The sequence below is a fragment of the Homo sapiens genome, chromosome 10 (assembly GCF_000001405.40).
Source record: "Homo sapiens chromosome 10, GRCh38.p14 Primary Assembly".
Classification (NCBI taxonomy): Eukaryota; Metazoa; Chordata; class Mammalia; order Primates; family Hominidae; genus Homo; species Homo sapiens.
In genome coordinates, this window is record NC_000010.11 from 78,356,667 (window position 1) to 78,368,754 (window position 12,088).

The window sequence follows — 12,088 nt, forward strand, 5'->3', positions numbered from 1 at the left end:
ATTTCATGTCAAGGGTGGGAGGGGGAGGTTTCTTAGATCCCTGGGCTCGGCCAAATGTGAAGTCAGCACTCCCCTCCCAACCTCCCCGCAATCCAGCCTTCCTCCTGTCCTCCCCTGGCTTCTATAATTCCGTTTGTTGTGCTCGCAAACACCGTGTTGGAAGATTTCATGCTAATGAAAGGGTTTCTTGATTAGGTTACGCTGTTACTGTAAATGTTCCCTCATTATCTATGTTATGGTAGGAATTTGAAAAAGTATAAATTGAGCGTCTTGCATAATTTATAAAACCTGAATGTTTCCTAATTAGTTCGGTTAGGTTAATGATGGTGCAGCGTCACTTCTTCCTGGTCCCGTTAATGACCTTTCCACTCTTCATTTTGAACACTTTCTGTTATTTACAAGCCCCCTCCCAACCCAAATCCAACAACCAGCTTCCGGAGTGTGGCCCCATCTAGCCTCTGATGGGAGGATGAAATGCCTTGCAGAATGTGAATGGCTCCTTTTTTCTCTGCATGTCCCCCGCCCAGCTTTGAGGCCAAGAGGCAGCCTGTTTAAAGGTTGGCCAGCCCAAATTTGGCTCAGGCCAATCCCCTGAAGAATGCCGGTGAAGTGCATTCTTTCGGCATTTGTATAGAGATTGGTGCTGTCCCCCATTAGCAGCCAGAGATGTGAAAATGCCGGAGGAGGTGGGGGAGGGAAAAACCCTCTCAAAAGGATTCTAAAATAACATTTTGCATCCTCAAGTAATTCCCAGTTCTCCCTGGCAACCATTCATTTCTTCCGAACAGCAGAAATTTGCAATATGAAAGTGGATTGGCTTCTCCCTCCCTTGGGGCCCCTGTATCTCTTCATCCAGCGCCTTGGGTAAAAAGCAATGCATACGTTTACAATATAAATGTGATTTAATCGACCTCCCTGTCAGGGAGAAATGGCAAGCATATCAAACAAGACCAAGATGTTAGAAAGAAAAATCATAAATTATTCCAGTGACGAGTTTCGGAGCCGCCTCCCAGACTACTAGCTGATGCTATATAAGGCTGTTCCTTGAAACAATAATTAAGATAATTCTGTATGACAAGGAGAAAAATGTCCAGCTTTGTATGAAATGTGCTTCATGTTAGCAAGCTGAATGCTTGGTATTGATTACTCTCTCCCCACAATCTCCCCCACCCAGTCGCTGTGATTCAAGGCTAAAATTAATTGAATGATGCAACATTTCTTTTCTCGAATCCTTATTTACCGTACATGCCTCCTAGAAGCCATGCAAAGTGGGCTGGCCTCTAATTCTCTAAATTGATCTCTTCCTTTGGCAGTGTCTGGGAGAATGCCGACATGTACGCACACACACTCACACACATCCTCAGCTGGGTGTCCATTGTTCTCCTCTCTGGAAGGTATGATTCCCCCCTCAGGCAGATTTGAGGGACATATCAGTACAGTACAGCCCTCACTATTCTGTTATTAGGCCACCATGGGGCTCTCCTACAGAAATATGGCCAATGCCAGAGGTCCCTCAATGCAGAAAGCTGCAGACGGGACTGGCTCACCCCACCTGCCACCCTTTCCCTGCTTGCAGTCCATAGAACAGCATCTGGCCTCTGTCTAGCAGAACATCCATTTTCCCCCTCTCCCCCTTCCAACCTCCCAGGGTATGGTGTGGATCAAGGAGGGACCTCTTCGCTCTCCCCTCTCCTATTCTAGCTGCCATATCCTGAGACAGTCGTCCCCCCTCCTATGAGAGGCACTGGGCAATTCCTGGCAGAGAGAGATGGTTTATGGCCTCAGCTCTGCTGGTTTTTCTGAGGCTCTATTTCATCTTGACTGCAGTTGCTGCCGCAGTGGTGGCTGGGAGAGAGAGCGAGGCACAGCTTCAGGTACTTAATCCACAGTACATCCCCTGGGCACCCGCAGCAAGGCTGATGCCTTCCCCTGCCTGGAGAAGCTGAGAGAGTAGTGGTAAAGGTAGCGACTGCAGGCAAGGTGCCCATGGGCAGTGGTTTGCCCCTGGAGCCAGGCTGGGGCTGGATTCCAGCATCTCTGGGCTTGTTGGGTTACTGAACAGGGCCCTTCCCACCCTGAACCCAGCTTCTTCCCTGCAGAAGGTGGTGGTGGGGATTCAAGGTGGAAGCCTGTGATGGGCTTGACACGTTGTGCACAATCAATGATTTTTAAAAAATCAGAGACATTTAGACAATTGTGCGATGAGTAAATGGCTCTTGGTTTGACAATCCTGTTTGTGACAACCCAGAGCCTTGTCCCCAGGAAACCATCCTTTCCAGAATGATGACAGAGAAGGACTCTTGTTTTCTGCCCTGGATGTGAGGGGGTGGTTGTGGTTCCACTAAGCCCTGAGGAACCATCCTTTGGGGACAGGCACCAAAGGTGCCCAAGGACCCCATGCCCTAGTCTTCCTCAGGAGACGTGGCATCATCACTCAGCTGTAGCCACAGCTCATGAAGCCAGATGGTGATAAGCACATTGCACGGAGGCTGAAGTGGGTGGGCCGGGAGAAAAGGCAGCGCTGGTGCCCAGAGCCGACTGCTATGGGAGAGAGGGCTGCCTATGTGGGCTCAGAGTTGGGGGTGAGGAGTCTAGAAGATAGGATAGGGAGAAAGCAGGCAGCCAGTGGGAGCTGGACCCATGGAGCATTAGTAACCCATTAACCCATACCCTTAAATTAGCAGATAACTACCACACTAGAGGCTACACTCCAGGATAAGGGCTGTGTGAATCTTGTCCACTCTCCCAGAGCTGAGTACAGTGCCCAGCACATACTAGTGCCCAATAAAGGAGTGGAGTGATAGGTGAGGGCCCAGGAATCCCTGCTGAGGGGAGTGGGTGCCAAGGCATCAGTCTGGAGGACTCTGAGGCTGTTGCACCTTGAGAATGGGTTGTTGAAAGGCAACGTGGGGAGGCTGTTTGCAGCCAGTTTCTCTCCTCACCCTCCCTCTGGGCGGAGGGGGGCTAGTGCAGCATCTAGAAGGCTTGAGTCTCACTTTTGCTGGGAGCCTCACATCTGGCACGAGGCCTGGGCCAAGCAGTGTCTGAACTGTCCTCCTCTGACCCCAGATGATCCATCAAATCCTCAGGCATCTCTGAATCCCTGCGCAGCCTGGTACCCCGTAGGAGCTCAACAAGGACTCCTGAGTGGTTGGCTGCTTGACGAAGAAGCAGCCCTTCTCTGTTGATGAAAGAGCAATTAAGACTTTAGGAGTCTGCAGTCTAGACAGGGAGCTGTCAAGTCTCACATAAGTGGGTCTGGGAACTGGTAATAGGAGATTAGGGGGGGCTTCTGGAGAAGAGAAGCTGCTTTAGAGGTGAGCAGGAGGGAGCCTGGGGGCGGGTCCCGGGGGTTGGGTCCTGTGCATTGCTCAGCGGGAGCCAGCGTGTCGAAAGTTCCAACCCCTCTGCCTGCCTGCTCTGTGTGTCTTACAGGCTTGTTTTTACACTGCTTTCTTTAATGACTTCTCACCATAGTCAAAACAACTCTCCTGTCAACTTATTACCTTAAAAATAGTTGAAAAGATGACACTTGGGTAGAAAGTGCTTTAAAAGAACAGCTACTTTCCCACACGCTCCTCTAGCTCTGCCTTAGAGAAGAGTCTTGTGTTTGGAGACCTGGGTTTTAATCCCAGCTGTCTCTCAAGGTGACTATGTGACCTTGGCCAAGTCATGGTACCTCTTGGAGCCTCAGATTCTTCCACTGTAAAACACGGTTAAAGCTCATTGGTGCATAGGAATAGAACATTCCCAATGTTTAGCTCCACACCTGTGTGTTCAGCCCATTTTCTCACGCAGCTGCCTGGGAAGGCTTCCTGGAGGAGGTGGCACAGAAGCTAGTTGCTGCGTAAAAGCCAAGGCCAGCGAGTTTGACCGCTGCAAGCTGAGCTTTTGTAGGACTCCCAGCAGTAAGCCTGGGTGGCAGCCATTCCCTGCCTCAGTTCCTGGACCTTCTCGTCATTGCCTACCTCCCCATCCAGGAGGCATCCATCCCTGTACCCTTTCCTCTGCCTTGCTTCTCTGGTCCTCAGAACAGCTCCCTGCCACCTGCACCCTCCTGGCTGGGAGAAGGGTACAGCCTCAGCTCTCAGAATTTGGAAGACTTTTAATTGCTGTCTTTTGTCCATGGAGATTAGAGTGACTCCAGCTTGGAGACAATTAGTAAATTATTATGATTAGTTTCCATTTGTGTGGTGCTACCCTTTGAGAAGCCCAGCTGATTTAATCAGGGTTGGTTAATGGGAGCGCTAGCAGCTCCCCTCACTCCTGACGTGCCTTGGAAACCAAGAGTGAATCCATAGACCGTGTTCACAGGAGCTCAGCATTTTGTGCTGGAGTAAGACCCTCTGCATTGCAGGATGCCTTCTGCTCATGGCTTCTTGCCCCACGGGTCTTTGGGGAGCTGAATAACTGGAGAGAGGGGGACGTGGGGACGTGGGCCTGGATGGGATGTCAGGGACCTAGGGTGTTTGCCTGGAAAGGGCCTCACTGCCCCATGCTCCCACAGTTCTCCTTACCCCACAGCCCACACCACCACTTCCTCCCTCCTCCCCTGCTTCACCTTCTCTCTTCAGATAGACTCTAGTCCAGTGGTTTGCAGACTTTGACTCATGTCAGAATCACCTGAAGCACTTGTCAAAACCAATTGCTGGGCCCCACTTCCAGGGTCTCTGAGTCAGTGGAGGAGGGGCAGGGCCTGAGAATCTGAATTCCTAGAAGTTCCCAGGTGCTACTGCTGCTTCTGGTCCAAAGAGCAACCTTTGAGAGTCATCTTTTCTTATGGTTTTCAATCCCGGGTGGACATTCGAATCCCTTGAGGAGTTTTTAAACTGATCATTTCCCAGCCCTCTGACCAGGCTGGGTTCTGTTGGTCTGAGCAGGGTCAGGGTAGATATTTTTTAAAGATTCTCCAGGTGACTCTGATGTGTAGCTTGGGTTGAGTGGGGGCCCTTTCCTGGAATGCAGACCTATTTCCAGGAGTTCAGGGGAGCTCTTGCCCAGTTGCTGAGAGGCTCAGCTTGGATTAGCAATACGTAGCAGGATGTGGACACCTGGGTTCTGGCTTTAGTGCCTGCTTCTGAGTGTTGACTTCTGATGTCCAAGTCTACCTTCCCTTCCTGCCCCATTCTTTCTTTCTTTTCCTTTCTTGCAACACCTCTTTCATCTGCCTCTCTTTCTTCCCCCGTAACTAGTTTAGTGAAGATCCCACGCAGTGGAATGGAGTTATTACAAGGTTTTGTTTTCTCTTGTCCCCCTCACTCTGTTGACTCCTTTTGTCCCATAACTTCTGGCCACTTTCATGTATCAGGACCTTCTCTGGTCTGACAAGAAACAGCAGTCTCACCGCTGTGTCAAACCCGTCTCCTTGGAGTGGGGAAGGAGAAACGGCTTTTTCATGTTGAGGCCATTCTTCTTCCTCCTTTCTTGGGTTTTCCAGGATGGGAAGGGTGGAGACCATCTTGCTTCACTCGCCTCCTCTCAGTGAGGTGGCCGGCTTTTGCTTGGGCTGGTTAAGGCTGCATCTGCCTGGTGTGCGTCTGCCCGTCCCAGTGGTGGCTCCTCTCTAGTGGTAGTCTCCATGCAGAAGGTGAGTGTGGGTTCTTCAGGGGCAGCGTCCAGCTTCACTTCACCTCTCTCATTCCTGAGTGTGCCCTCAGGAAGGACCTCATCTGGGTGGCAGCCACCTGGGCAGCCCACACCTCCTGCCTAGCTCTAACTTCCGTGCTTGTGTATGTGGAGACTCAAGGTCCTCTCCGCGGGTCCTTTCTCCTGGGAAAGCCAGGAAAAATGAGGTCGGTGATCCCCCATCCTATTCCCAGCCCTCTAAACTCTGGTCTGTTTTCATTTTGCAAGTGCAGGCCTCTACAGCAAGCTGCAGCCTCCTTCCTGCTGAGACTGCCAGACAAGAAGGCACCACTTCCTGTGTTCACATTCCAGGGGCGTATGCCATGCCTTCCCCTAGGCCGCACTTGCCACTTCCGCATTCAGCTAGCGTCCAGCTAGGGTGGGGAGGTGCTGATCTTCTTTTGCTGGAGGCATCCCTGTCTCTAGGCATGATTCTCCTGGAGGCCTTTCTCCTGCTTGGCTTAGGGGAGGAGAGCATTTTTCTCACCATGAATTCTTCCCTTGCGCTAGGCCATACGACTCAGCAGTTTTGCCTCTTGCCTATCCTGAGTGCTTCTAGATGGGGACAGGGGTGAGATGAAGCAGAGGGCAGTTGGTGGTCATCCCATAGACAGCCTGCTGGGCCTGCTTGTCAACAGCTTTCTCAGCGTGGAGTTGGTGTTTCTTCATCACATTGGGGGCCCAAGTAGCCAACCCCAGACCCACAGGAGGGACCCACTCAGCTTCCTGTTGTCTCCCCACCCAATGATCCTCCTCCCTATTATGTCCTCCCTGCTTTCCTACCCTGGACATTCAGTGAGCCTGACTCTGTCCCAGGCCCTGCTCTAAACCCTGGGGGGGCATAGACATGGGACAGCTCCCACTGCACTCACTGAGAGGTGGCAGAATTCTCCAACAGTTACCAGCCACCATCCTGCATCCGCCAGGAGCTCCTGCTCTGCCAAATGACCAGGCTGTGATACTAGGGTGGTTGGACTGTAGTGGAGGCAAGCCCAGGGATGTGGAAACACAGGGCAGGGCCAAATCACCAACTTTGGGGATTTAGGGGAAGCTTCCTGGCTTGGAAGAGGTGGTGTCTGAGTGGGGCCTTGAAGGATGAGTAGGAGTTTGCCACTCAGACACAAGAAGAACATTTTACGCTGAGGGAATGAAACATGAAAGTGGGGGCTGAATGCAAAGATGCTGAGTGTGATTGGAGCATAGAGGAGATGACATGATGGGAAGGGGCGAGGGACAGGCAGGGAGCAGGTCATGAAGGGTCCTGGAGACCGTGCCATGGTAGGGAGCACTTCCCAGAAACATCTCAGAGTGAGCTGTTGGGCACTCCTCCCTTCACCCCAAGGCTTCTGTTTTGAAGGGTCTAGTTGGACACTTTCTTCACATGGTGGCAGCTCTGAAGCTGCAAGCACTTGAGTAGCCAGCATTTCTGAGAAGGGAGGACTTCCCATATTGATTGCAGCAGAGCAGGTGGAGGTGATGGGTGGGCAGCAGAGATCCGAGCAGGATGGAGGATGAGGCAGCTCCCTTTGGGTCCTCACTCCAGTGGCTTTCATAGGAGGGGCCTGAGCGTCAGGACAATTCCTGGCTTGGTTTGTCTGGGGAAGTCTTTGGCTAAAATACCAGGGGCAGAAATCTTGGCTGGGAAAGAGGAATTCACAGGACTCGAATGATTTACCTAAAAGAAAAAGCAGAACAGGGATTATTTTTTTTGGAGGTGGGACTCTGGCGTGACATTTTAAAAATGCATGTTTCCATTTCTCGTGTTCTGTGAGCATATGTTGCTTTTCAATAAGAAAAAACCCCATGTTTGTTCCCCAGCTATTTCACCAGTGCCTATTTATCTTGTGCCAGCCTTCAGAGACCCTGCGGGTAGAGGGATACACTAGACAGGGCAGCCAACACCTTCCCAGAGTGCGACCCTCTCTCACAGTTAGTGGGCACCCACAGTGGTGGGTCTAGGGGCACTTCCTGTATCACATCACTCGTCTTGACAATGACTCTTGAGGATGGGTATAATTAACATCAACTTCCAGATGAAGAACCTGAAGCTCATAGCAGTTAAATCACTTGGCTGAGGTCACACAGTAAGGTGTAGCCACGTTGGGCTTCCAGTCCAGATGAGCTTGGCCCCAAAGCCTGGGCCATTTGATGCTGATTCTTTTGGTCTATTGGACTCCTATGCAGGCTCCCTCTGCCAGGCCTGCCCCTTTGCACCTTGGGTACCGCTGGGGAAGTCATACAGCTTCTCTAGGCCTCGGTATCCCCACCTATAAACTAGGGATAATTACATCTCCCTTGCAGGCTCATTATGAGGCATAGGGAAGTGTGATTAATGCACGTTACTCAGGACAGTGCCTGACACTGGATGCCTGGCTAATGAGGTCTTCTAATCATGGTGTGGGACAATGTGAGCTGGCGTTGATTCCCTGCTTCTATCACAAGAAATAATTCACTTCTGTCTCTTTCCAGTTTCTGGCTTCAGAAGATGTAGGTCCTCGGCTTCCTTAAGCTCCTAAACTCAGACTCAGGGGAGGGATCTGTATGGAAAAGGCAGTGGCCTCCCTGTCCTGGTTCCCACATCATTGTCCCCTGGCTTCCCATGGCTGTTTCTTCTCAGGCCCAGGCTCAACCCAGCCCTGGAGATAGCCCAGACATGGGCCTTCAGCATGGAACATCAACCCCATTCACACGTGGTCTTAAGATTAGTTACAAAGACCAAGGCCAGGGTGAGCCTGGAGCAACCATGTATTCAACGCTCCTACTGCTGTAAGTCTTGCTGTTTGGGACCTGTTTTCTCCAGGTGCTCCACATACATCACTCACACCCACTGCTTGGAACACAGCATGTTTGCCCTGCTGGTTCCCTTCCAAGATGACAACCATAAACTCTGCAGTCTGAAGGAGACCCTCTGTTTCTGGAGGGTTACCAGAAGGTTGTGCTGCCCATCCATCTCCCAGAAGAGCCTGTGCCTTTCCTTCATTTGAAGTCAGACCATCCCCTACCTTGCCGTGTGTTCTGTTCCAGGTAGCATTGCCTTGCCACCTAGCTCCACTTAGGTGTGGTACCCTGGGCTTGTATTGAAGGCAGGATGTTGGGAGAAGCAGCCCCTAAGAAGCTAGTTATTGTGCCTATTGCAGGAGGAAGAGTGTTAAGGAAATTGCTGGGAGACATTTTTCTCACCTTTAGAACCAGGAAAAGGAGGGCCGATTATGGAGAGTTCCTTTTTATCTGTGGAAACCAGGCTGAATGAGACTGCGTCTTCCTCTCCGCTTTGTCTGCTAGGAAGCACAGAGCCCAATGCATAGCCCATTTCTAGGAGGTGCCCAGGACCACAGCATTAACACCATGGTGTGTAACCTCACCCTTGTCTAGTGATTGACTGGAGCCTGCTGGTCCCCAGGACTGCTCTTTGTGCTGTCCTTTGGGGTCCAGCTCTGCATCTGACTTGGTTCCCCCCAGCCCCATCAAGTCAGCTGGAGAGCAGGACCTCCCTGGGTTCTGGCTGCTTCTCTTTCCAGCAGACCTGTGTCTTCCTGGCATCCCAACAGCCATGGTTGACTTTTCACGTTTCCATGGGAACAGTCTGACTGTAGCCAGACAAGTAACTAGAGAGGCTGAGGAGGAGCGTGTGTGAGTGTGTGTTGTGTCTGAGGCTGCTCTTGGAGCCCAGAGATCTTGTGTACTTCCCTTCGGCTTGCAGTGGCTGCAGCAGCCTCCTCTTGGTGGTAATCATGGCCCATTTGCACCTCCTACATCTCCATTGCTGACATAATATTGCACCGGGGTCCATCCATCTGCATAATCATCTTAACCTGCTCCCATAAGAGAGTTTAAAAGGTCTGGGCTGTTGGAAAATGACCATAAAGCCTGAACGCAGATACCTTTAGCAGCAACGCCAACATCTATCACAGGGTAATTAGAGGCAAGGAGTGAGGGCTCCTGGCTCTGTGTCGGGGAACTGTTTGGGGCTGCGTCTGCTCTGACTGTTGAAAAGAAAGGGAGGGAAAGACCCAAGAAGGCAGTCCAGGAAGGAGAAGAGCAGTTTCTGCAGCAATAAGAGGATTTCTTTTTACTGGAGGGTGTGCAGCTTCTCCAAGGGGAAGGAACTTTGCCTAAGACTGTTTGGGGACTCCCGGGACCTCTGTTCACACGTTGAATGCGCCATGGTTTTCTGAAACTAGAAAAATCATGACCAGGACTGTTCCTTTCTTACTGTGTTCTAGGTCCCAAACTCTGGAGTGCTGTGTGGTCTTGAACAAGCGCCCTTTTCTCTCTGTGATCCCATTTTTCTATTTGTAAAATGTGGGGATTGGACAAATCCGTCAGTTTCCAAACTCTTATTTGTGGAACACTGGGGCTCACTGGCAGGGATGGGGAGAGGGAAGGGGGTAGGCAGGGGTGAGACCCACCTCCTTTACTCCAACCACAGTGGCTTTTCTTTCATTGGTCCTACATTCAGCTTTCTAAGGAAGGTTATACATGAAGAGCAGTTTTCTGCTACCAGAAGCACTGGACCCCCACTGGGCTCCAAGATCCCTTAGAGTCTCTGGTGTTCGTATGATAAAAGTACTAGGCTTGGAAAACCAGATTTTGCTACGTCCTTTAACAAGTGTCGCTTTATTGTGCTGAATTTGATCTCTCCAGAAAAATAGTGGCGTCTGTGCAGACAGGCAGTGCGACTTGAGGGAGTGTGAGGACCCCACGGAGTCAGACACAGAGGGGCAAGAACAGCTCTTGCAAAGCAGAGACCAGGGGCCAACTGCCCACAGCCGGCCTCCTCAGGCCCAGTGGGGCTCCAAGTCTTCGGGAATGCCCCAGGCAGTGGGTGGCTGTCCTCTCTGTGTTGAAACAACAGAGCTGTTTTCTTCTGGGTCCCCCGCCCCCCTTGGCTGTCAGCTCTGAGCAGGGTGTGCAGCCCCCTGGCTCCTATCCACATGGAGCCTGGTCATCTCCTTCTGGGGTCTATCAACTGCATGAGCTGTCAGTGGAGGCCACGGCGGCCTCTCCGTTGCTGACCTCTTGTTCCCCAGCCTCTTGAAAACTCGCTGCAATTTGTCTCTGATCCTGCTGCAGTCTCCCCGCCTTCCCCTGAGGTCGGGGCCTCAGGCTCTCAAGACTGTAAGGCTCACTGTCTCCGCTGCTGCCTCATTTGCCAGGCACTTCAAGCTCCAAGTCTCCCCTCCTTCCTCACTTTTAGGTCTTTGAAATTTTGCGCCCCTATATTCGAAAGTTATCCTGGTCATTGACAGTGCAGGGAGAGAAACTGCTGAAAGCATTCCCCCTTGTTTGGAGGGTCCACTCCTGTCCCTTCTAAACTCTGGAGTTTTCCACACCTCCTCTTTTCTGTCACCTTTTAGATGCCTCCTGATACCTGGTGTCTCGCTTATGGTGTGCTCCCTGTGTGAAGCTCAGTGCTGGTGTCTGTGAGGCTTTAACCAAGGTATACATTGAAAAAAAAGAAGAAGAAGAAGAAATAAAAGAAACTTTTTTCTGTCTGACTTTCTGTGTGTGTCAGCCCAGGCCTGGGGAAGTGTGAGGGCAGGCTGGGTGAGTTTGCCAATCTTGTCATCCCAGAACCCCAGAAACATCACTACCCTAGTGCTCCCTGCACACCCAAGCCATGCTGGCCAGATGTGTCGCTCTGGTCTCTGTTCGACTCCAGCCCAGCCTATTCTCCTTGGCAGCAGCTCCTGGCATGCTCTGCAGAAGGGGCAGCTATTTCAAACCAGGCTGAGGGCCCTGGATGTGGCCATTTAAAGAAAAGATGATGGTAGCTGTCTTGCCAGGCAGCACCACTGTGGTCTCACAGAGCACCTGGCAGCCTGCTTCAGAGTACACACATTGCCTGCAAAGAGTGCTGGTTTTCTGTTCCTTCTCAAAACTTTGCCTTGGGACAGTGGCTGGGTCGGAGGCTAAGGCCGTCTTGGGGCATCCTTTGCCCAAGTGCAGTTCTTCCCACTGAGCCACAGTGTAACCTCTGACAGAGTCTGCCCAGGCTGGGGCTGGCGGGTCACCTATTTATTTTAATAGGGCAATCTCTTTTGGGATGACTGTAAGCAGAGGCCCCAAGTGAAAGACATTTGAAAACAAGCTGCCTGGAAACAAGCCTCTTGGAGGACCACAGGGGGGTGGATTCTGGAGTCTTCTCTTAACGTGCATCCATGCCTCCCCTGCCTCCATTCATGTTGGCCTAGTCCATGGCCCTCCCCTCCTACTTGAGGAGAACAGCCTTCCAGACTCCTGGAGGCCCAGGCATGGGACGTGCCACAGGTGGACCTAGAACCCAGGTCTCTGAGTCTCAGTCCACTTCTCATCACTCCTGCTGAACCCACACGTCCCTCAGCAGGTATATTAACTAGAAGAGCCTTGTTGTGGCTGTGGAGGTCTGGCAGTTACATGGAGGCGCAAATAAACTCTTGCAAGATACTGTGGGGTGCTAGAAGGAGTAACTTCCTGGAAGGCA

The 12,088-nt window shown here is 51.6% G+C and overlaps 1 pseudogene; it reads left to right on the forward strand.

The window, feature by feature from the left end:
* The first annotated feature begins 10,840 nt into the window (after positions 1-10,840).
* Positions 10,841-10,957, forward strand: LOC124902568 (uncharacterized; annotated as a pseudogene).
* The last annotated feature ends 1,131 nt before the right edge of the window (positions 10,958-12,088 follow it).